The sequence below is a fragment of the Homo sapiens genome, chromosome X (assembly GCF_000001405.40).
Source record: "Homo sapiens chromosome X, GRCh38.p14 Primary Assembly".
NCBI lineage: Eukaryota > Metazoa > Chordata > Mammalia > Primates > Hominidae > Homo > Homo sapiens.
Genome location: NC_000023.11, coordinates 77,062,950 through 77,088,656, shown reverse-complemented (window position 1 = coordinate 77,088,656; position 25,707 = coordinate 77,062,950). Strand labels below are relative to the sequence as shown.

At 42.4% G+C, this 25,707-nt stretch overlaps 1 long non-coding RNA gene and 1 pseudogene across 1 annotated transcript, besides 1 other annotated feature; both read right to left on the bottom strand.

Moving 5' to 3' along the window:
- Window positions 451-745: an enhancer, noted in NCBI's record as "tiled region #14264; HepG2 Activating non-DNase unmatched - State 5:Enh". NCBI's record gives its function as "activates a minimal TATA promoter and a strong SV40 promoter by Sharpr-MPRA in HepG2 cells {active_cell/tissue: HepG2}" and the evidence as "EXISTENCE:reporter gene assay evidence [ECO:0000049][PMID:27701403]".
- On the bottom strand, window positions 6,804-18,058 carry LOC105373254 (uncharacterized). Its single transcript, XR_938449.3, has 3 exons — window positions 17,596-18,058; window positions 10,410-10,563; window positions 6,804-8,412 (listed from the first exon to the last, which is right to left on the bottom strand). It is a non-coding gene; the product is annotated as an uncharacterized LOC105373254 (long non-coding RNA).
- On the bottom strand, window positions 21,830-21,948 carry RNA5SP509 (RNA, 5S ribosomal pseudogene 509; annotated as a pseudogene).

Here is a 25,707-nt window from a genome sequence, read left to right as displayed (position 1 = left end):
TGAAAGGCAGATTAGACAAGGATTAAGTATGAAGGGATAGAAGTTGAAGGCAAGAAATGAGCAATGAATATTGCTTTTCACCCATTGTTGGATTTTACAATGGCCTCTGGCTAAGTCCAAAAAACAGTGGTCCAGTTACACAGCTGAGCTTCCCTGATGTTTCCATTATCTTTTTTTTTTTTCCTGGTGGATTCTCTTCTCAGGCTCTGTGGGCTGGGTGACCTCCTGTCCTCTGTCCCCAGGCTTAAGAATCTTCGAGCAGACAAAATGGAACATTTATATGCAAGTTTGGTGACATAAATCAAGTGAGGAAAAGTCCATTTTCATGTGGTCATTGTGTCAACTGTTATTATTTCAGTTCAGCCTGGCCACATATATAAATCTCCTTTAAGAAACCAGAAAAGGAATATGTGAAATAACATTTCTAGTATGCATGGTCACTTGCTTCTATTAATAATTACTACTTGTAAAGCCTGGAAATGCTTAAGTTGTTCATATTTTTTGAGCGATTGACTGGCTCTTTTATTTATACATACAAGAAAAAAAGCCAAGTGGAGAGAGGAAATCATCTGTTGCTGCAGAAACATGAAAGTCACATTTTTGGCACTGTTCCCTGGTTGACGTAATTCTGGGGAATGTGCTAAAGGCCATGATTTTCCAGAGGGAGCAAATATTGTTTCATGACTGGCTGTTTGTGGGCACTTTTTGTCCCCCTCTGAAGTCAGGCCAAAACCAAGCTGGGGCTCTTTCTGCCTTGTTTGTCGGTACAGGTCAAGCCCACTTTGAAGCAGAAGTCTAAAATATTTGCTGGTCATTGTGCTCAACCACACCCTATGCCCTTTTATACCTTCTGAATCTTTTCTCCAGGGCCCTCTAAGCTGCTTGGCCTTTGCACAGGCTGCTGGGAAGGTTGCTTTTTCCCTGCTGTGTGGAAACACTAAGGGCTGCCAGTGATGTGTGTGTATGTAAGGGCCGTTCCTGAGCTGACTCCTTAGGTAGACCACAGCACAGTGTGGATTGGGATTTGGACCTAGTTGTTCTCATTCTCTCTTACATCCTAAATGGTCCAAAGCAAAATGGGCTACAGGTCCCAATGCCGTCTGTGAGTAGGCCGTATCCCTATCCGTTCATCTCTTACCCAGCCCAGTCTTCATGCTCCTATATGGAGCTGCCAAGAGACCCTGTAGTAGCTGCTTGTTATGGTCTTCAGGACTTTACTTGGATCCATTTGTCATAAAAGAAAGAAGCCTTTGTATCATGAAATTGGCTGGCAGTTCAGTCTGCGTCCCACAGGGTCATGCCTGGGTTCTCACTAGTTCCCCCACCTCCTCAACATATAGGTAGTCTCATGAAATTTAGGATAATTCCCACCTCTATGCCTTTACTCCAACGATAATGAACACTTGTTTTGCTATGTCCCTTGTACAAAAGTAATTGTTATCCCCCAATCTTGCTCTCATTCAGTTCAAGCCTCTCTGCTAAGTGTTTAAGACCCTCCAAGATTTGACTCTAACTTTTATCTCCTACTGTTTCTAACACATCCTTTACCTTATTTATAGCCATTTGTTCATTTCAGAAATGAAAAGCTAATTCAGAATTATTAGTGCTATAATAGAGGCATTTATAACAAGCATAGAGATGGCCTAAAGGAAGATGTAATCAGTTTTTTTCTGGGGAGTCAGAGAAGACTTCACAAATGATATGATGCTTAAAGCTGAGTCGTAAAGGTTCAAAAGTTGTCCATCAGAAAAACATGGTCCATTGAGGAGGGGAAGAGTAATTTTCTGAGTAATTTTCTGAGCAGGGCCCTGATCCTTGTCTTGGGGGACGGTGACTAGAGCTTTTCTTGTAGCCTCATTATCCCTGCATTCTGCCATAAGTTTGAATGGGGCTGACCACACCAGGAGCTCACGCTCAGAGAAAGGAGTGTAGCTCAGAATAACATCTCATAGAGCATCTTCAGTAAGGAACAAGTAGATAATGTGAGAGACAAACTCACCTGTCCAATCCCAAAAAATGGACTTAGATACCTGGGGAACAGCGAAAGCGAGATTTTTAATGACGATCTTGCAAGATTGGGTGTCTCATGACACCCAGCACAGTTTCAACAAGCAATTTATCCCCTAGTGTGCAAGTCCCTCCTCTGGTTCCTTATAGACCGAGTACTATGGGGTTACAATCTTCCCGGACGTTGTCTATTGATTGTAGGGTAAGGGGTTTCATGTGATTTTTTTAGGGTTGTCTTGCTGCATTTTGTTGCAGCCCACAGTGCATTGCAATCCTAGTTAGCTCTGGGGCTCTTCAGATATTTGACTTATGACCTAAGTAGCTGGGCAGGTTGATAAGAACAGACAAAATGAGCTATTTTGCAGGCTAGTAAACTTTCATCTTAGACTAAACTTCTTCGGTTTGGGTGAAGGCAACTAAGTGGGGGGAAGAAGGGGGAGGCCGATGAGCAGGCATCAGCTATCCAAGCAGGGGCCTAACATATCCTGTTTCTTCTGTAGTTTGCTGACCTAAGCCAATTCAAGGCATTTTGTCTTGGAAACGGAGCACCGTATACATTATTTCCTTCAATTTCCTCCTGTTTTTCTTTTTACTCCTATTGGTTCTATTTCCACACTTATTTTTGTGTTCTTTCATTTTTAAATTTATTAGTTACTCCTTTAGGGACTCCTATTGAGTTAATATAAATGTTGGGATTGAAAGAATTTGTTAGATCTCTCCAACTTCAGTGGCCATGTGGATTCTCAGGGATTTTATAGAATGCCAAGGTGAATGGAATGGAGCTAAGGCACAAGTCCCAGTCCAATTGGGTGGTAACAGGTCATGGAGGTTCCTCTTCCCACAATGCCAGCAGACGTTAGCTTGGGGTATATAAAAAGCCGAGTAGTTGCCTTTGTTTTACTCACCAGTAACATTTAGAATGTGGGTCCAAGTTGAGAATTTTCCCATGGGCTTATTGAACTCTGCCCCCTGCCTAGATAGGAAAGAAGAATGGTTCACATTCTCTATGGAGAATGAGGGGATTGCTCTAGGATCTGACCTCAGTAAGGCAGGAAACAACAATAATAAAATTTGCAAGTCCCATTTCCCCATGCATCTCTGTCCTGGTGTAGAGCCAACATGCCACACATTCCTCTGGGATTGGTATCCCTTCCTAGGGGAAACGGAACTACCTGTACCTGAGGCCGCCCAAGAGAGCATGCATAACAGTTGCTCTTATTAAGAGCTAGTACTGAAAATTTGACCCATTCAATCCAGGCGTTTACATCCCCATATCCAGTCTCAATTTCTAAAGTCTGCTTCAAGTCAGTTATTTTAATTATATTTACTCTCTTAGGGTCATTGTCTGGTGGATTAAAGGAAGTAGAGGGACCGGGAGTTATAATAATCCTGGGTGGGCTTGGGATGGAGTTGGTGACTAGCCTAAGAGCTAACCATGCTACAGGATCCTTTCCTGAGATATCTGTTCCTAATCTATACCTTCAAGGTTCCTGGTCTATAGTAGCTGGGTTGTTTATGGTAATTAACATATGATTGCATTTTAAATTACTACAGTTATGTAGTATAGGGCCCTTATACAAATATATTTTGTTCTTTAAGGGTTTGTTTTTGGAAGAATGACTTACCCAGCCTCAAAATTGGGTGGTCCACCAGACCTCATTCCAGCTAGAACAGGTCTTTCCCCAATAGTGACAAATTTCAGGACATAGATATTTGTTTGCTTGTGACAGCTGCCTTTGGTTCCCTAAATTCCCACAAAGTAAGACTTGGCAGGCATTAAATTATATAGTTTGGGGGCGGAGTAGAGGTCTTAGTTATGTTGACTATTAGTTTGATTGTATATTCCTTACTTTCTACCCCTAGTACTGGGCTCTATTCAATACTTAGGTTTTCTTTTACCCCTTGTGTTAGGATTAATCCTAACCATATCCACCCCCAATGATGAACCCTGCTTATAGCTTCTTTTTAGGTTTTTCTTAGAGCTAGCTTTAAGTGTTTCTTAGGTGATTTATACACTCCACATTCACCCTTTTCCCTTTCTTCCAGGGGTTCTTTTACCAGGGTTTTGACCCGTAGGTAATATGTTCACCCCCATTCAGCTGTTTGTACGGCTGTCTCAGTGATTAGATGCACTTGATAGGGACCTTCCCAGCTTGGGTGGAGCATATCTTCTTTCTAAGTTTTAATTAGCACCGAGTCACCAGGCTGGAAATGGTGTACTGTGAACTGAAGAGGCGGGGTTTGAGTTAGAAGTCCTTTTTTTTTTGAGACTGTCTCTCTCTGTCATCCAGGCTGGAGTGCAGTGGTGCAATCTCGGCTCACTGCACCTCTGCCTCCTGGATTCAAGTGCTTTGCCTGCCTCTGCCTTCCAAGTAGTTGGGGTTACAGGTACCCACCACCACACCCACCTAATTTTTGTATTTTTGGTAGAGACGGGAATTCATCATGTTGGTAAGGCTGGTCTCAAACTCCTGACCTCAGATGATTCGCCAGCCTTGGCCTCCCAAAGTGCTGGGATTACAGGCATGAGCCACCTTGCCTGGTCTTAGAAGTTCTTTTAACCTAAGAAATGACAGGGTGGAGGATATGGCCAGTATATAATGTCTTAAAAAGTGATCTTTTGTTTCCATAGTAGGAAGGTCAGTAGTCCTACCTAAATATGGGAGTTCATATAATAACTTGTAAGGGAACAATCCCCTAGTCTTTCCTTGGGGATGTCCTAATCCTAAAGAGTGCTATTGGGAGACATTTGGTCTAAGGCATTTTAGTTTCTAAGATTAGTTTAGTAATATGCTTTTTGAGAGTTTGATTTATTCTTTTGACTTTTCCAGAGGAAGGGAGATGCCAAGGGGAGTGGTAATTCCATCTAATGTGTAAACTTTTCATAATTCCCCTTAGCACACTTGAGGCAAAATGGCTCCCACTGTCTGAATCAATATTTTCTACCAGGCCAAATCTGGGTATAATTTGTTCTAAGATTATTTTGACCACATTCCTGGTGGTGGCAGTTAGGAGGGGGAAGACCTCCACCCAGCCAGAGAGGTGGTGTATCATTACCAGTAGATACTTTAGTCTCCCTATTTTGGACATTTCTGTAAAATCTACTTAAACGCTTTGAAATGGCCTTAACCCAGGAGGTCTCCCTCCAGTAGTCTGTTTTCTAACTATCTTTTTGTTTATTTTCTGGCAGGTCCCACAACCCCCACACACTTGTTTAGCAAGGGTATAAATCCCTTTACAGCCATAATTCTTGAGTATTGCATTACACATGGCCTGGGGACCTCAATGACTTCCCTTATGCAGTATGGACATCCGTTCTGTCATTATGGCTTTTCTTGTCATTCCTCTCCCGTCAGGGAGCATTCACCTCCCATCTTCAGGTTGAATGGCCCCTATCTTGCCCAGCTGTTCCTCCTCCTCTTTAGAAAATTGGGGTTTTAATACCACTTTAGGGATATCTGGGATTAGGCTAAACAGTCTAACTTCTTCCTCCAGGGAGGCTGGCTTGGCAGCTTCATCTTCAAGCCTGTTCCCACAGCTTCTATAGTGTTTCCTTTCTGATGGCCATTTACATGAACTATGGCTATCTACGCTGGAAGCAGGAGGCTTTCTAAAACTTGTTTGACCAGCTCCCCATGTACCAATTCTTTTCCCTGCTACTTATGTATGCCCTGTTTTGTCCAGATCTTTCCAAAGGTGTGTACTACTACATAGGCATATTGGAAATTAGTATATATAGTAACTTCTTGGCCTTTTAGGAGCTTTGGGGCCTTGTTAAGAACATGTAATTCACAGGTTTGTGCTCACCAGTTATTGGGTAATTTACTTTTTTCACATAAGGATTGTTTGTCTTTATTAATGACAACATAGCTATTGTGTCTTTTACCATGTATTACTTGGGATGACCCATTCACAAGCAGCCTCATCCCATTACATAGTGGAGTTTCTTTAAGGTCTGTTTTAATTTTAGTTTGATGTTCTATGACATTTAAACAATTATGTTTTGATACCTTCTTATCCTCCTCTTCTTTCCATAAGAAACCAGCTGGATTTAGGTTAGGAACCTCCCCAGGGCCCACTGACTCCAGGAGGAACTTGGGGAGGCAAGGGACTGACCAGCAGGCATCCCAGGATGCCTTGGACCAAACCCAGCTGGGTCTGGCTCTGAGCCAAGAGCTGCTGGTTTGAAGAGCTACCAGCCTGTGGTGACTCCCCTGACAGGCACTCTTATCAGCAAAGGCATCCCTGGCTCTGCCTGCCCTTCCTTTTTTTTTGCTTTGAATCCACCATCCATCTTTCTGGCAGACTGAGAGCTGCACTGTTAATATTCCATGCCACCCCTGATGGTGACCCAGCAACTGCAAAGGGTCTCCAGTTTGTCCCACTCTGGGAGGTGACTCAGTGACTTTTCCTCCTCTTCAGCTGCAAGGATCCTCCCCCAGCCCAGCCAGGCTCTGGGAAACAGAACTTTCATAGATCCCACTTAAGGCATTTTGGCTGATATCTCCCCAACACAGGCCCTCTCTACTTCAGGGATGGCAAACTGACATCGTCATTTGTCTGTATTGGGTTTTAAAGGTTTTTGAACTGATTACCAGCATTTAAAAATCCAATTTCCTGCTCTTCCTCTTGCTTCAGTCATGTAAGACATGCCTTCATCCTTTTTGCCTTATGTCATGATTTCTGTTGATTGATTTTTAAATATTGATCCAACCTTCCATCTGCAAAGACCAGCTCAGTCGGGGAGACCCTAACCCAGCGGCACTAGAGGAATTAAAGACACACACACAGAAATATAGAGGTGTGAAGTGGGAAATCAGGGCCCTCACAGCCTTCAGAGCTGAGAGCCCTGAACAAAGATTTGCCCACATATTTATTAACAGCAAGCTAGTCATTAGCATTGTTTCTATAGATATTAAATTAACTAAAAGTATCCCTTATGGGAAACGAAGGGATGGGCCAAATTAAAGTAATAGGTTGGGCTAGTTAACTGCAATAGAAGCATGTCCTTAAGGCACAGATCACTCATGCTTTTGTTTGTGGCTTAAAAATGCCTTTAAGAGGTTTTCCACCCTGGGCGGGCCAGGTGTTCCTTGACCTCATTCTGGTAAACCCACAACCTTCCAGTGTGGGCGTTATGGCCATCATGAACATGATACAGTGCTGCAGAGATTTTGTTTATGGCCAGTTTTGTGGCCAGTTTATGGCCAGATTTTGGGGGGGGCCTGTTCCCTACATGTCCCCCTTATTTGATTTGCAAAGCGATAAAAGCAAAGGCAGCTTTGTCATGGTGAGCTACTTCTCACAGGAGTCAGGATCCACATCTGCAGACTATACAAAGACAAACAACACAGATTAAAAGCACAATCATCATTGAAATTACAGAGCTTCCAAGTATTTTTATCCATTTTAATGGGTTACTAGCTGCTAATCTGTCTGCAGCTCCTTTAAACACTCCAGTTCCTGGCATTAAGGCCATGTGTGCTTGAGATGTTTTAAATATTTGTTCTTCTAATTTTGCCATATCCAAAAACAAGTTTGTAGTGTGTCCTTCTAGATACTTTTTTATTCTTTCCCAAATTTTGATCTTATTAAGAGCTATTAATAGTTTCCACAAATCCTTCATGTTTACCTCCTACAATAAGCCATATCATTTGAGGTTGAGGTGCCACTATACTGCCATGGTTTCAGATAATAGGAACTTTTGCCATACTTCTTATCATTTCTACCATCTGACCATTTTGTTTAGATCAGCTGAGCATAGTGTGGCCATGGCATGCAGACTGAGAGGTGCAATTTAGGTTAAACATCCCTTTAGGGGACCAATCAATAAAGATTCCATAGGAATCGTTATGCAGCCCCTCTGCCTGTTCTGTAAAGCAATCTTCCTAAACAAGTACATTCATTATTTCTGGCCAGGTTCTATTTTGTTTACAAATAGGTTTTTTAAGGTGGTATGCCTCAATTATAGGAACAAATTTATTAGGGTAAATACTGAGATCAGAAAGCATGTGTAACTGTGTCATAGAGTGATTATATTCAGGCATTATTACCATCCAGGATTGATATATATGCCCAGTAAGTATAATTGTTCTCTGTGTCAGCCCTTGTTGAAGGAATACTCATGGCAGGGTGATAACTGCTATCATAGCTACCATTAAATTACTCATTGTGACTGGTTGTCCTGCTTTTCTCAGGTTTTCTTCCACAATCTGTGACAGCTTCGTGATCTCTCCCCAGGTGGGTGGCTGTGTTAAACGGGTGTTGCTCGTGAAAGCTGGGGTCTTCCTCAACGTCAGTCTTGACATGGCTTCAACTGAGGGGTCCTCGGGATCCTCCCAGAATCTGGCTCATGATAAGGTTTCATTTGTCTTGATGGTATCCAAATTGGCTGTTGATTTTGGCCTGGAGAAACACAAGCATAATCTCTACCCCAAGTTATGATTTTACCTATTTTCCAACTTTTTGTTATTGGATCTCTCCACCAAATCAGTTGTTCTGCTTCTGTCTTTGCAGCTGGTTTCTGTAGATGCTGTTCAGCTGCTGATAGCATCTGGCTTTTGGGCAGGCTCAAAAAATATAAAGTTAATAATGCTAGATTCAGTTGCATCTGTGGGGTTCCATATTCTCTATTTCCCCCTTTCTGCTTTTGCAACTGCTGTTTTAGGGAAATATTCATTCTTCCCACTATGGCTTGTCCTTGAGAATTGTATGGGATACCAGTAATGTGTTTAATATTTGACATACAGAAAAATGTAGCTAGAGCTTGGCTTGTGCTCTCCATTGTTGTAATAAATATCTCCCCCATAAATTTATAGGTACAGAAGTTATGATTGGTTGAATAGTTCCAGGTGGTCTGTTAGGCCCTTCACAATGCAAAATATAACTACTGTGATACACTTTAGGGGCTTTACCAACTCCAACTATGTTAAATTGAGTGGTTGAATTGGCCACATGGACAGCCAGTGCTGTAGAGAAATGATTGAAATGTCCACTCCCGTATCTACCAAACCTTTAAATTTCTTTCCCTGAATAGTTATTTCACAGACAGGACATTTATCAATAATTTGATGTACCCAGTAAGCTGCTTTGCCTTGTTTATTTGTGATTCAAAATCCTCCTGTTCATTTAATTTCACTTTTCCCATTCCCACATATGGCACAATCAGGAGCTGTGCTGTGCACTCTCCTGGCTCTGTTTTCCAGGGAACAGAAGTAGATATAATGATTTGAATTTCCCCATTATAATCTGAATCAATGACTCCTCTATGTATTTGTACCCCTTTTAAACTTAAACTAGACCTGCCTAGAAGTAATCCTATTGTCCCCACTGGCAAGGGTCCACAGACTTCTGTTGGGACCTTTTTCAGGGGTTCCCCAGGCAGAAGACTCACAACTTTTGTGCAGCATAAATCTACTGTGGCACTACTGGCTGAGGCGGGGGACAGACATCGTACAGGGGTGAGGGAATGGCCTCAGCTGGAAATGCCCCAGTTTGGAACAGGGCCCAGGACGGGCCCCTCATGACGTTTCCTGAAATCAGGTTCCCTTCTTTATCAAACTTAGAGTGCACTGATTAGCCCAATGTTTTTCTTTTTCACATTTTGGACATACTTCAGGCTCAGCAGTTTTCACTTTTCCCCTATCTGGTGGCCTGACTCACTGATTTTTTCTACATTCTTTTTTAGTATGAATAGCTTGTTTGAATTCTTTGAGTAATTTAAAAGGAAAAGCCTCAAATGTAGCTATAATATTTCCCTGTTGATCTGGGGAGTGTATTCTAACAGGGAATTGCCATGCTCTAAATCACCCTCTCTTCTACAGTCACTGGAGCAACTACTTTTGGCCCAGTGTCCTCTGGAAAAGAAAGATCTGGAGGGTCAGGCCACTCTTTTTCTTCAAAATAATAATGAGGGGGTGCAGAAGGGTAGGGATGAACCTCTCCCTCCTTTGCCGCTTTAGCTTTAGCTGGCAAATAAACCTGGTCTGTAACCTCTTCTGTTACTTCATTATACTCTCCTTCCTCCTCATAATCAGTGTGAAAAAGTTCCAAGGTGGAACCAACCACAGCCCACACTTGTCCCATTGTTACCCTGATGCTTCTGAGCTCCCCTTCTTTTTTTTTTTTTTTTTCGATATGGTGTCTTGCTCTGTCACCCAGGCTGGAGTGCAGTGGTGCAATCTTGGCTCACTGCAAGCTCCGCCTCCTGGGTTCACAACATTCTCCTGCCTCAGCCTCCCAAGTAGCTGGGATTACAGGTGCCTGCCACCACGCCTGGCTAATTTTTTGTATTTTTAGTAGAGAGGGGGTTTCACCATGTTAGTCAGGATGGTCTTGATCTCCTGACCTCGTGATCTGCCCACCTCAGCCTCCCAAAGTGCCAAACTCCCCTTCTTACTCACCACAGGGATTGCTTTAAGAGTACTCAGGTGTCCTCTAGCTAGTTCCATGTTCTCCAACCATCCCTCTGGCAAACCTTTGACCTGGATTTGAGTCCCCATGATGGATGCCATTTGCTGATACCAGCTCAGTCGGGGAGACCCTAACCCAGCGGCACTAGAGGAATTAAAGACACACACACAGAAATATAGAGGTGTGAAGTGGGAAATCAGGGCCCTCACAGCCTTCAGAGCTCAGAGCCCTGAACAGAGATTTACCCACGTATTTATTAACAGCAAGCCAGTCATTAGCATTGCTTCTATAGATATTTGGTTAACTAAAAGTATCCCTTATGGAAAATGAAGGGATGGGCCAAATTAAAGGAATAGGTTGGGCTAGTTAACTGCAGCAGGAGCAGATTGCTCATGCTATTGTTTGTGGCTTAAGAATGTCTTTAAGCAATTTTCCGCCCTGGGTGGGCCAGGTGTTCCTTGCCCTCATTCTGGTAAACCCACAACCTTCCAGTGTGGGCATTATGGCCATCATGAATGTGTGACAGTGCTGCAGAAATTTTGTTTATGGCCAGTTTTGGGGCCAGTTTATGGCCAGATTTTGGGGGACCTGTTCCCAACATCCTTCTCTGGAATGAACCTCACTTGGTCATGGGTGGGGCCAAGATGGCCAACCAGAAGCTGCAGTGTTCAGAGACTCCCATCAAAAAAAACCTTAATAAGCATGTGAATGTTTCACTGGCAACCAAAGTATCTAGGTTCTCTCATCAAAATTGACTAGAAAGCTGGCATGAAACATGGAGAGAAGGAAGAGCATTGTGGTGTGGTGGCTCACTTGAGAACCACATGGGGAAGGGGAACCCCCTCCCCCCAGCCAAGGGAGGTGGTGAGTGAGTGCACTACCCAGTCAGGAAAATTGCTTTTTCCACGGAACTGTGCAACCCATGGATTGGAAGATCCCACCCATGAACCCATGCCACCATGGTTTAGTGTCCCGTGACCTATTGTCCCAATCTGTGTAAGAATGCACAGATTCTTACAGCCTCTCAGCTGGAATCTGCTAAAATATACCAAACTCCTGTGGGGAGGGACCCTAGCCTGTGACCAGCACAGGCTGCAGCTGCCAGTTGTCTAAGCCCTTTGAGCTCCTTGGGGGAGGGGCAGCAGCCAGCACTGGGACTGGCAACTGCCTAACACGTTAGGCTCACTGGGTGGGGGAAGGGTGGCACCCACTTCTATAACTCCAGGCTGTGCTTTTCCCCTGCTAGAGCCAGGGAGGCTGGATTGCTTGGCCCTAAGGCTTGTCCCCACAGCCCAGCAAACAGGCTGTGGCAGTCTGTGGCCAGAGTGACTCTTCAGGCCCAACCCTGACCCATCCTCCCTCAATGGGTGAGCCTTCCTGGCAGAATCTTCAATAACTCCAGCCAGAGGCTCAGGGACAGAATTTGGATCTCAATGGGCCTGAGCCCCTAGAGGGAGGGGTGGCTGCAGTCTGTGCAGATGAGCAGACTTAGCCTATCCTCCTAGTAGTTCTGAGAAATCTAGACAGCCCAGATGAGTGAGTTTCCCCATAGAGAAACAGATCCTTTCCACTGAGGGAAAAGATGCTTCATTAAATGGGTCCTGCTCCCTGTGCCACCCAATGGGGTTACACACTTTAACAGGGGTTGTCAGACGACCTATATAGAAGAAATCCTACTGGCATCAGTTTGGTGCCCCTCAAGGTCAGAGGTTTCACAAGAAGGAGGAGGCATCCATCATTGCTTCTCTCCAGCCTCCTTGAGTGACATCTCCAAGCATGAGCGTGAATCAGATGAACAGAGCCTGAGGTGAACCCCCAGCCAACTGCAGCAGCCCTACAGAAGAGGGACCTAACTATTGAAAGAAAAACAAACAAGCAGAAAGTGACAAAAACAACATCAACAACAAGAACAACAACAACAACAAAAAGACTCCCACAAAAATTCCATCCAAGGGATAGCAACCTCAAAGACCAAAACTAGACGAACTCATGAGTATGAGAAAGAATCAATGAGAAAATTCTGAAAACACAAAAGGCCAGAATGCCTGTTCTCTTCTTAATGATTGCAACATCCCTCCATCAGGGGCACAGAACTGGGTGGAAAATCAGATGGATGAACGGACAGAAGTAGGCTTCAGAAGATGGGTAATAAAAAAACTATGATGAACTAAAGGAGCATGTTCTAACCCAATGCAAATAAGCTAAGAACATTGATAAAAGGTTAGTGGAATTGCTAACTAGAATAACCAGTTTAGAGAGGTACATACATGACTTAATGGAGCTGAAAAACACAGCATGATAACTTTGTGAAGCATACACAAGAATCAACAGCCACATCAACCTAGTAGAAGAAAGGATATCAGAGTTTGAAGACCACCTTACTGAAGTAAGAAGTGCAGAGAGTAATAGAGAAAAAAAGAATGAAAAAAATTGAACAAAGCCTCCAAGAAATATGGGACTTCATAAAAAGACTGAACTTACGATTGATTGGAGTAACAGAAGGAGATGGGGAGAATGTAAACAAGCTGGAAAACACACTTCAGGATGTTATCCAGGAGAACTTCCCCAGCCTAGCCAGACAGACCAACATGCACATTCAGGAAATACAGAGAACACCATTAAGATACTCCATGAGATGATCTACCCCAAGACACATAATCATCAGATTCTCCAAGGTTGAAATCAAATAAAAACTGTTAAGGGCAGCTAGAGAGAAAGGCCAGGTCACCTCCAAAGGGAAGCCCATCAAACTAACGGTGGACTTCTCTGCAGAAACTACAAGCCAGAAGAGATTGGGGGCTAATATTCAACAATTAAAGAAAATAATTTCCAACCTAGAATTTCATATCCAGCCAAACTAAGCTTCATAAACAAAGGAGAAATAAAATCCTTTCCAGACAAGCAAATGCTGAGGTATTTTGTTACCACCAGGCCTGCCCTGCAAGAGATCCTGAAAGAAGCACTAAATGTGGAAAGAAAAAACCTGTACCAGCCACTGCAAAAACACACCAAAATATAAAGACCAATGACTCTACGAAGAAACTGCATCAAATAGTGTGCAAAATAACCAAATAGCAGCAGGATGATGGCATCAAATTCACACATAACAATACTAACTTTAAATGTAAATGGGGTAAATGCCATAATTAAAAGACACAGAGTGGCAAACTGGATAAAAGAGTCAAGACCCATCAGTGTGTTGTATTCAGGAGACCCATTTTACATGCAGAGACACACACAGGCTCAAAATAAAGGGATGGAAGAATATTTACCAAGCAAATGAAAAGCAAAAAAACAGCAGTGGTTGCAATCCTAGGTCCTGATGAAACACACTTTAAAACAACAAAGATAAAAAAAAAAAGGAAGGCATTATATAATGGTAAAGGGAAGAATTTGACAAGAAAAGCTGACTATTCTAAATATGTATAAGCACCCAATACAGGAACACCCAGATTCACAAAACAAGTTCTTAGAGACCTACAAAGAGACTTAGTCTCCTACACAATAATAGTGAGAGATGTCTACAGAACTCTGAACCCCAAATCAGCAGAACATATTCTTCTCAGTGCTACATGGCACTTATTCTAAAATCGACCACATAATTTGAAGTAAAACACTCCTCAGTAAATGCAAAAAACTGAAGTTATAACAGTCTCTCAGACCACAGTGCAATCAAATTAGAACTCAGTATTTAAAAACTCACTCAAAACCACACAATTTAATGAAAATTGAAAAACCTGCTCTTGTTTGACTCATGGATAAATAATGAAATTAAGGCAGAAATCAAGGAGTTCTTTGAAACCAATGAGAACAAAGAGACAACATACCCCTATATCTGGGACACAACTAAAGCAGTGTTAAGAGGGAAATTTATAGCACTAAATATTCAATCAGAAAGCTAGAAACATCTCATATTGACACCCTAACATCACAATTAAAAGTGCTAGAGAGGCAAAAGCAAACTAATCCAAAAGCTAGCAGAAGACAGGAAATAACCAAGATCAGAAAAGAATTGAAGGAGATAGAGACATAAAAAACTCTAAAAAAATCAACGAATTCAGGAGCTAGTTTTTTAAATTAACAAAATAGATAGACTGCTGGCTAGATTAGTAAAGAAGAAGGGAGAGAAGAATCAAATATACACAGTAAACATTGATAAAGGGGATATCACCACTGACTGCACAAAAATACAAATTACCATCGGAGAATACTATAAACACCTCTATGCAAATAAACCAGAAAATGAATAAGAAATGGATAAATTCCTGGACTCATACACCCTTCCAAGACTAAACCAGGAAGAAGAAGTTGAATCCTTGAATAAACCAATAACAAGCTCTGAAATTGAGGCAGTAATTAATAGCCTACCACACACACAAAAAAAAAACACCCACAACCAGATGGATTCACAGCTGAATTCTACCAGAAATACAAAGAGAAGTTGGTACCTTTCCTTCTGAAACTATTACAAACAATTGAAAAGAAAGGACTCCTCCCTAACTCATTTTATGAGGCCAGCATCATCCTGATACCAAAGCCTGACACAGACACAACAAAAAAAATTTCAGGCCAATATCCCTGATGAACATCGATGCAAAAATCCTCAATAAAATACTGGCAAACTGAATCCAGCAGCACATCAAAAACTTATCCACCATGATCAAGTCAGCTTCATCTCTGGGATACAAGACTTGTTCAACATATGCAAATCAATAAACATAATCCATTACATAAACAGAACCAAAGACAAAAACCACATAATTATCTCAAGAGATGCAGAAAAAACCTTTGATAAAATTCAATATCCCTTCATGTTAAAAACTCTCAATAAACTAGGTATTGATGGAATGTATCTCAAAATAATAAGAGCTATTTATGACAAACCCACCTTGTCTATATTATATTGAATGGGCAAAAGCTGGAAACATTCCCTTTGAAAACTGGTACAAGACAAGTATGCTCTCTCTCACCACTCCTATTCAAGATAGTATTGGAAGTTCTGCCCAGGGCAATCAGGGAAGAGAAAGAAATAAAAGATATTCAAATAGGAAGAGGGGAAGTTAAGTTGTCTCTGCAGATGACATACTTTTATATTTAGGAAATTGTATCATCTCAGCCCAAAAACTTCTTGAACTGATAAACAACTTCAGCAAAGTTTCAGGATATGAAATCAATGTGCCAAAATCACAAGAATTACTTTACACCCACAATAGGCAAATAGAGAGCCAAATCATTAATGAACTCCCCTTTACAATCACTACAAAGATAATAAAATACCTAGAAATACAGCTAACGAGGGATGTAAAGGAATTCTTCATGGAGAACTACAACCCACTGCTCAAGGAAATAAGGGAGGACACTAACAAATGGAAAAACATTCCATCCTCATAAATAGAATCAATATTGTGAAAGTGGCCATATTGCTCAAAGTAATTTATAAATTCAACACTATTCCCATCAAACTACCACTGACATTGTTCACAGAATTAGAAAAAATTACTTTAAATTTTATACAGAATCAAAGAAGGCCCCACATAGCCAAGACAATCCTAAGCAAAAGGAACAAAGCAGGAGGCATCACACTACCTGAATTCAAACTATACTACAAGACTACAGTAACCAAAACAGTATGGTACTGGTACCAAAACAGATGTATAGACCAGTGGAGCAGAATGGAGACCTCAGAAATAGCACCACACATCTACAATCATCTGATCTTCAACAAACCTGACAAAAAAAAGAAATGGGAAAAGGATCTACTATTCAATAAATGGTGCTGGGAACACTTGCTAGCCATATGCAGAAAGCAGAAACTGGACCCCTTCCTTACACCTTATACAAAAATTTTCTCAAGATGGATTAAAGACATAAATGTAAAACACAAAACCATTAAAAAAAGCTAGAAGAAAACCTAGGCAATACCATTCAGGACATAGGCATGGGCAAAGACTTAATTACAAAAACACCAAAGTCATTGCAACAAAAGTCAAAATTGACAAATAGGATCTAATTAAATAAAAAGCTTCTGTACAGCAAAAGAAACCAGCATCAGAGTGAACAGGCAACCTACAGAGTGGGAGAAAACTTTTGCAATCTACCTATCTGACAAAGGTCTAATATCCAGTATTTACAAGGAACTTAAACATGTTTACAAGAAAAAAAAACAACTCCATCAACAAGTGGGCAAAGGATATGAATTGATACTTCTCAAAAGAAAACACGTGGCCAACGATCATATGAACAAAAGCTCAACATCACTGATCATCAGAGAAATGCAAATAAAAACCACAATGAGATGCCATCTCACATTGGTCAGAATAGCGATTATTAAAAATTTAGGAAACAATAGATGCTGGAGAGGCTATGTAGAAATAGGATCACTTTTACACTGTTGGTTGGAATGTAAATTAGTTCAGCCATTGTGGAAGACAGTGCGGCGATTCCTCAAGGATCTAGAACCAGAAATACCATTTGACCCAGCAATTCCATTACTAGGTATATATCCAAAGGAATATAAATCATTCTACTATAAAGACACATGGACATGTATGTTTACTGCAGTACTATTTACAATAGCAAAGACATGGAACCAACCCACATGCCCATCAGTGATAGACTGGATAATTAAAATGTGGTCCATATACACCATGATATACTGTGTAGAAATAAAAAGGAATGAGATTATATTTTTTTGCAGGGACATGGATGAAGCTGGAAGCCATTATCCTTAGCAAACTAACACAGGAACAGAAAACCAAACACCACATGTTCTCACTCATAAGTGGGAGTTGAACATTGAGAACACATGGACACAGAGAGGGGCACAACACACACCAGGGCTAGTTGGGGGATGGGGATGAGGGGTGGAAACTTAGAGGATTGGTCATTAGGTGCAGCAAACCACCATGGCACATGTATACCTATGTAACAAACCTGCACATGCTGCATGTGTAACTGCCACTTTTTTTTTAGAAGAAATAAAGAAAAAAAATCCAATTTCACATAAAACATCAGAACTCTGGCCTCTGACAAAGCATGCAATTTGGTAACACAGGGCCATTACTGTAGAAACAGTTGAGCAGCCATGGCCCCTCTTCAGGGTGTGCCCTCTTCAGTTAGCCACAGTCCCCACACAGCCCTGCAGCCCTCCTCATCATTTGCCGGTTCTATACTCACTTGTTTACAACAGTAGTTCTGATCTTCCCTGTGTAGCTCTCCAGCCCCTCTGCAGCCTTAGTGACAGCTTCCCCTGGTGGATTTACAGCCTCTCAGTAAAACAACAAAACCTTAACGGTCATCTTATCGGTTTACCCTTTCATAACCTGAATCCTCTCTATTTACCTCCTGACATACAGCCATCTAGTCTTTGCTGTAGGCAGCCTACTATTCCTCAAGCAGCCTGATTCTACACTCTCCTCCACATCCCTTTCTCACTTGCATCCTCCAGTTCTCTGGCTCTGTCTCTCCTCAGTGGCCATGCTCCACCCTTTCCCTGCACCTCCTTGTTGCTTGAGCCTCTAGATCCTTTTCTCAGCCCTGCCAGCCTCTCTGCATCCTCTCACTTCCTCTTGTACTCTTTCTTCCTTTTACATTATCTCTCTCCCCAGTCTCACCTTCTGTGTCTCTCTTTGATCTCTGTCTTTCCCAGTCTCTCTCTTGCTCATTTTCTTTTTCTATCTCTCTCTGTCAACCCCTGTTTTCTTTCTCCCTTAGTTAGTTTCTTCCTCTTTTTGTCTCTGGGCACCTGGCTCCTCCCATCTGTCTGCAAAGACAGACAGCTCTGCCGAAATGACAAAGGTTCAGCAGCAGCTTTTATTAACAGCTTTCTCACACTGTCCACTTTTATCTCAACTGTCTGGTCCAGCTCTGCAGCTTCTGCCAGCCCCATGCCTGCAGCTGCATGGCCAGCTCTCCGCTGCTTTCAGGATCAGCAGCTTACCTCTTTCTCTCTCTGTCCTCTGTGTTTGCCGTTTCCTCCTCTTTCTCTTTCCAATTTCCTTTTTTACTTTTTCTTTTTCTTTCTTTCTCAGTTTCTCTTTTCTTTCTTCTTACAAAAACCTTTTGGGCTTCCCTCAGTAATTCTTAATCGGTTTTTCATTCCATCAATCAATCTTTTGCAGTTTCTTAGTAACATTAGACCAGCTTTCAGTCACAAAATTAACCTTTAAAAGGCCTTGCCTTACTTGGTCCTCTGCATCTAATCCTGAATATTTTCTCATTTGATCTCTGAGCCTCTGCAGAAAGGCAGAGGGAGTCTCCTCTTTTTCTTGTTGGGTCTCAAATGCTTTTGAGACATTTTGTGTCCTAGGAGTGGACTTTTTAATCTTTTAAATCATTGGTTTCCTTAGGTTCTGCATTTGGGCCCGATCTCTGGGGTTATTGTTATCCCATCTGGGATTCACATTTGGGAATTTCTACTTAGCTGGCAGGACTCCTTGCCTCAGAGGATGCTGCCTCTCCCAAATGGTTATGGTTGTCCTTCTAATCATTCCCCTCTCTTCCCCAGTAAACAGAATATTCACGATTGACATCATCTCATTCCAAGTATAAAAATTGGGTCCTAAAAACTGATTTATCTGCTCTGCTAAACTGAGGGGATTTTCCAAGAGTGGCCTCACTTCCTTTTTTCAAGTTCCTAACCTCACTACTTGTTACTCAAAAATCCAACTTCTCCCTGTCCCATAGGGCCTTCTCTAAGAGGGTACATGTTAGATACCTGCGGTTTAGAAGGAATAGGGAAATTTGTAATGTCCTTCTTATATTGTTCTAATTCTTTCCTCAAGTTTGGAAAAGGATTTAAGAAAGCATTGGGTTTAGCTCCTTCATGACCCCCAGATTCCTGTTTCTCTGACCTTTCTGATGCCCTCCGATCTCCCTGTCCTCTACTTTGTGAGATGTATGGGGGGAGGGAGAAAGTATGTTGGAGACTCCAGGGCTTTATATTGTGTGAGGGCTTTTTACTATGCTCTTTTTCTTTCTTTTTAAGGGGGAACATGGGGGTTAATTCACTAATCCAGCAAAGAGCATAACCCATCTCCTCTTGTGAGGATGGGGTTTTAGTATTCACATAGAGAATTAAAGCTTGGCACACCCAATCCTCATCTGAGCCAAACTCAGGCCAAAAGACCAAGGGCTGATGAATGGGCTTTTTGGGCCAGATAAAACAGCAATATTTTATCATCTTTTGCTTTTTCTTGTCCCTGGTTTGAGGATTATCCCTTCGAATCTGCAACATTCTCCTCAATGGACTATCTGGGAGAATGTCAGAGGGGGTCTTTTTAGTTCCCTCTTTCCTTTGTTCCCTTAGGCCTAGAATTCCTGTTTCCCAATTTTTTGTTAGTCTCTGTGTCTGAGTCTTTCCCTGTGTAATCAGCCCCCCTAACTGGAGGTTTCTTGCACACCCTGAAACCTCCAAGAATGCCCAACCACCAAGGCAGTACTTATAGTCCAATTTTCCTACCTTGGCTCATGCACGAGGTTGCCTGGTTGCCATGGCACCTGCTTTTCTCCAGGTGTCACTTTCGTTATTTCCTGAATAACAGCCTTGGCTTTTTCTATGGCTTCTATGGGGGGCTGGCACACCTGGGCAGAGTGGGCCACCTAAATTGGCTGGGACGCATCTCCCCTCTCAGTCGGAGTCTCACTCCACAAAGGCAGAGAGATCCCCATATGGCCCACCAGGTTGTGAGAAACAAACTCATCCATCCAAACCCAAAGAAAGGACTCAGAGAGACTCCGAGAACAGTGAAAGCGAGACTTTTAATGATTATCTTGCAAGATTGGGTGTCTGATGAGCAGGTAGACCCAGCACAGTTTCAACAAGCAATTTATCTCCTAGTGTGCAGGTCTCTCTCCCGGTTCCTCATAGGCTGAGTACTATGGGGTCACAATCTTCCCAGATGTCGTCTATTGATTGTTGGGTAGGGGCTTCAGGTGTTTTTTTTTGGGGGGGGGTGTTGTCTAGCTGCATTTTGTTGCAGCCCACAATGCATTGCAATCCTAGCTAGCTCAGGGGCTCTTCAAGTATTTGACTTGTGACCTAAGTAGCTGGGCAGGCTGATAAGGACAGAAAAAATGAACTATTTTGCAGGCCAGTAAACTTCCATCTTAGACTAAACTTCTTTGGTTCAGGTGAAGGCAACTAAGGTGGAGGGAATGGGGAGGTCGGCAAGCAGGCATTGGCTATCCAAGCAGGGGTGTAGTATATCCTGTTTCTTCTGTAGTTTGCTGACCTAAGCCAATTCAAGGCACTTTGTCTTGGAAATGGATCACTGTATACATTATTTCTTTTAGCAAATGTCTAGATCATTTATATTACTGATGAGGAATCTGAAACCCTAAAAGGTGAAGGGAACTGTCCAAGGCCACACAGCTAGTTAGTAGCAGAAGTAGACAGACTCTTGAACTCTCATTCCAGTGACCTTTTTACTAGGCTGCTTTGTGGCCTTAGCATGTCCCAATTGCCCCTTTTATCTCCTGTGAGGAATCCCACGAACCTCAATTCACTCACAGTGGTTCCCTTTTGATTCTAGACAACAATATTTATTGCCACTAGCTGTGTGATTATTGCCATTCTCTGTGTGACTTTAGGAAAATTACATTTCTTCTCTGGACCTTAGTTCTTAGTTTCTCCATCTAAAATGAGTGGGAGTTAACTAATAGATTTTTATATATAAGCCTTATCAAGAGGAGCACAGAGCCACTAATTTTCATAGTAGCTTCACTTGTTTGTACAATTGTTGTAGTGAAGTACAGGAATCTGAACTATCCTGCTAGAAAGTGGTGAAAAAACATAGTGGGCACTGAGACTCTGAAGGCTTCCTACTGGCTTAGGAACAGATACATTTTCCCAGTGCAACCATCTTATTTTTAATGTGATGAAACTGAGACCTGAGCTGGGAGTGGGAGTAATTTTCACAGAATGTTAGTGAGGCTTTGGGTCTAGAACCTAGGTCTTCTGACTCTAAGCCCAGTACTTTCCATGCACCCATACTGCTTCACTGAGCTGGGTATGTCCTGTTGAGGGCAGTTCCAAAAGGATTAAAAGCTCAGGAATCTGCTACAAATAGAGTACAGTTTTAAGATAGGCCAGAGTGTTTGCAGATGGCCATTATGAGGGAGGAGGGTTTAAAGCTTTGAGGGAAGGGGGTTGCAGTTGTCTCCACACACCCCATCTGAGTCTTTTGGAGATTTCCTTGGGCCTAAGCCCCAAGATGTGTGGGGGCTCAGGGACTCTTTATTCTCACTTTCTTCCATTCTAGTTGCTTCCTGATCATACTGTCTCTCTTCTCATAACTGCCTCCATTCCTAGCCCACCTCCTTCTACTCTCAGATATCATCAATCTCTGGGCTGGTTTACCTGTTTTTTATTAACATCCTTCATAGTCACTTCTTATTTATTTATTTAAAAAGCCTACAACACCCAGTATTCCCAGGAGGTCTCTCATCCAAGTACTAAACAGACCTGACCCTGCTTGGTTTCAGATATCAGACAAGATTGGGCACATCCAGGGTAGTACGGCCATAGACCATAGTTACTTTATTTTTTATTTTGTATTTTTTTTTTAGTATTTATTGATCATTCTTGGGTGTTTCTCAGAGAGGGGGATGTGGCAGGGTCATAGGATAATAGTGGACAGAAGGTCAGCAGATAAATACGTGAACAAAGGTCTCTGGTTTTCCCAGGCAGAGGTCCCTGCGGCCTTAACGGAGCATGCTGCCTTCAAGCATCTATTTAAAAAAGCACATCTTGCACCGCCCTTAATCCATTTAACCCTGAGTTGACACAGCACATGTTTCAGAGAGCATGGGGTTGGGGGTAAGGTTATAGATTAACAGCATCCCAAGGCAGAAGAATTTTTCTTAGTACAGAACAAAATGGAGTCTCCTATGTCTACTTCTTTCTACACAGACACAGTAACAATCTGATCTCTCTTTCTTTTCCCCAAATTTCCCCCTTTTCTTTTTGACAAAACAGCCATCGTCTTCATGGCCCTTTCTCGATGGTCGCTGTCTCTTCGGAACTGTTGGGTACACCTGCAGAAAGGCTGTCACTTCACACTTGGAAGATTGAACAGCAGCCAGGCAGAGGCGCTCCTCATTTCCCAGACAGGGTGGCGGCCGGGCAGAGGCACTCCTCACATCCCAGATGGGGCGGCCAGGCAGAGGCACTCCTCACTTCCCAGACGGGGTGGCCGGGCGACCATAGTTACTTTAAAAGGAGCAAAACATCTCACAAACCACTTTTGCATTTGCTTTTATTTCATGCTGTTTGGAATTAATTGATTTTGTGCTCTCCCAGAATGCTCTGGTGGAGAAAGGAGACAACTAAAGGCCAGCTTCTTTTTTGGAAAATAACTTAGCTTCTAGTTTTGGAACCCTGAGGAATTTGACCCAGTGGGTATATATCCAAAGGATTATAAATCATGCTGCTATAAAGACACACTCACAGTTATGTTTATTGCGGCACTATTCACAATAGCAAAGACTTGGAACCAACCCAAATGTCCAACAATGATAGACTGGATTAAGAAAATGTGGCACATATTCACCATGGAATACTATACAGCCATAAAAAAGGATGAGTTCATGTCCTTTGTAGGGACATGGATGAAGCTGGAAACCATCATTCTCAGCAAACTATCACAAGGACAAAAAACCAAGCACTGCATGTTCTTACTCATAGGTGGGAATTGAACAATGAGAACACATGGACACAGGAAGGGGAACATGACACACCGGGGCCTGTTGTGGGGTGGGGGGAGGGGGGAGGGATAGCATCAGGAGATATACCTAATGTTAAATGACGAGTTAATGGGTGCAGCACAGCAACATGGCACGTGTATACATGTGTAACTAACCTGCACATTGTGCACATGTACCCTAAAACTTAAAGTATAACTAAAAAAAAGAAAAAAAAAAGAAAAAAAAAGAACTTAGCTTATACCATATAGTCAACCTCTCATTGTCATTGTACTTACCAACAACTTTTATTCTTTGGGTTGGTTCAAATGGCCTCCAAGTTATTGGTGTTTCTTCCCTGTGGGTGGAGCAGGTGCTCTTTTTGGAAGGTGGAAGGGATCAGGAGTTTAGTTTTGGACATGTTGAATTGAAGTCTATTCAACATCTAAATGGAAATATTGAATCGGAAATTGCATATATGAATCTAGAATCTGGAAACAGTTTTGGCTGGAGATATAATTTTTGAGTGTTTGGCAAATAGACGGCATTTTATGCTGTCAGAACAGATGAGATAAATTAGGGACTAAGTGTATAGAGAAAAGAGAGTTCTGCAAAACTTCTCAGACAAATCCTATGCGAATGGTATAGAACTGCCATTGCTATGGTTATGTCCTACTTTATTTGTGGGATATTGATGTGTAAAGAGCACTGACTGGGGAGTCAGCACATCTAGGTTCCTCTCCTGGTTCTGGCTCTGAGTTGATATGCCACCTTGAATCTGACCTTTATCTTCTTTGGTCCTCAGTTTTCACATCTATAAAGTGAGGGACTTTGCTTTCTGCCAGTGACTTTCAATATTTTTAAAAGTGGAGAAACCCATTAAAAATGAAATTCATTTAGTTTCTCTGGTTGGAAAAGCAGATTGAGTAGATGGGGGAGGGTGTGGAAGCTCAGGCCACCTCAGAGTCATCCTCTGAATCAGTTCTAGAACCCCATGACACCAAGGAATGCAGTTTGATTCTCAACTTGGTTCTCTAGCTCCTTTTAGTTCTGATATTCTGTAGTTTGAGGGTTCCCTTGGCATCAGTTTATTGATCCAATTTGCTGATCAGTTTGCTGATCCAGGGGGTCAGCAAATATTTTCTGCAAAGGGCAGTATGGTAAATATATGAGCTTTGTGGGCCATTATGTGTCTCTCATCACTGCTGCTGCCTTGTCTTCCTCCACCCATTCTACTCCTCCTCCTCCACCTCCTAAAATTCTACTAAAAGTGTAAATAACCATTCTTAGCTCATAGGCATTACAAAACAAGGACTTAGACAAAATTCAACCTGTGGGCCATAAGTTGTCAATTCCTAGATAATCTATGGTGTGACCCAAGAACTAAGACCCCTGTACACATGACCAGGTGCACAGTGGGGAGAGTGTAGACCATCCTTGATCCCCAATAAGACCTGTGTATAGCCTGTAGTTTCCAAGCTATTCCTGGATGGGCCTGGAGATGGAGTAGGTGCAGTTCACTGGTGGACTCTGAGCCTCAGGCCCCTCTGGGACTATGCTTGAAGCAACCTAATGCCCCTCCCCCACAATCTCCTTGGCTGAGCTGGGCCATTTCATGGGCACATAGCCTTAGGGAAGGCACAGCTATTTACAGTGGCCCAAACTGTCTTGGGGCCAGGAAGTGGCTCTTGGTTTTCCACACAGCTGGGAGAAGGGAGGGGCAAATGGGATCATACAAATATCAGACTCCAGGCAAAGAAGAGAGGAGACCTAATTGCTATCAGACGTCTCCACAGAGCAATAACACTGCCACCTGGTTATGAGTATCTTAGTTTTGCAGAATACAAAGAGCTTTTCCAGACAGCATGTAATTTGTCTTCACAGCACCACTGGGAGGGAAGAAAGAAAAGGAGGAGGTTTAGCTGTGGTAGTGAAAAAGGACCTCTGGCTTAAGAGTCAGGAGTCACAGCTTGGTCACTGACTTGTGAGGTAACCTTGGAGAACCCTCTTCCTCTTTCTGTGACTCACTGGTAACGTGGACCAGTAAAGTAAGATAATAAGATTGGATCAGATCAGTGGTTCTCAATGTGTGATCCTCAGAGCAGCAGCAGCAGAGTCACCTGCAAACTTTTTAGAAATGCCAATTCTCAAGCTTTATCCCATACCAAGTGAATCAGATGCTCTGGGAGTGGGGTCCAGAAATGTATGTTTTAACAAATGCTCCAGGCAAGGTGAGCCACTGGACTGAAATCATCTAATGCCTTTGTAGCTTTGATTATCTGAATGTGTAAGATAACAAATGTACAAATACATTTTAAATCACACCCTAAATATTTCAGGGATGATGGTGGTGATGATGAGGATGATAAAATGATGTTGCTGTTGACTGTGCCATACCTTAGCAGCCAGGTTCCTACTCTATGCCTACCCTGCCCACCTGTCATGGCACTGCGCTCCATCACTGCCAGCTGGGCAGGACAGCTCCCTTCATTCCTCATCCCCTATGGAGTTTCTCTCAAAGCCTATAAGATAGAGAGATATCCTCAGGAGGGAGCTTATACATGGTATGAATAGGTAAGCTAGATAAGGCAAGCTCTTCCAGATGGT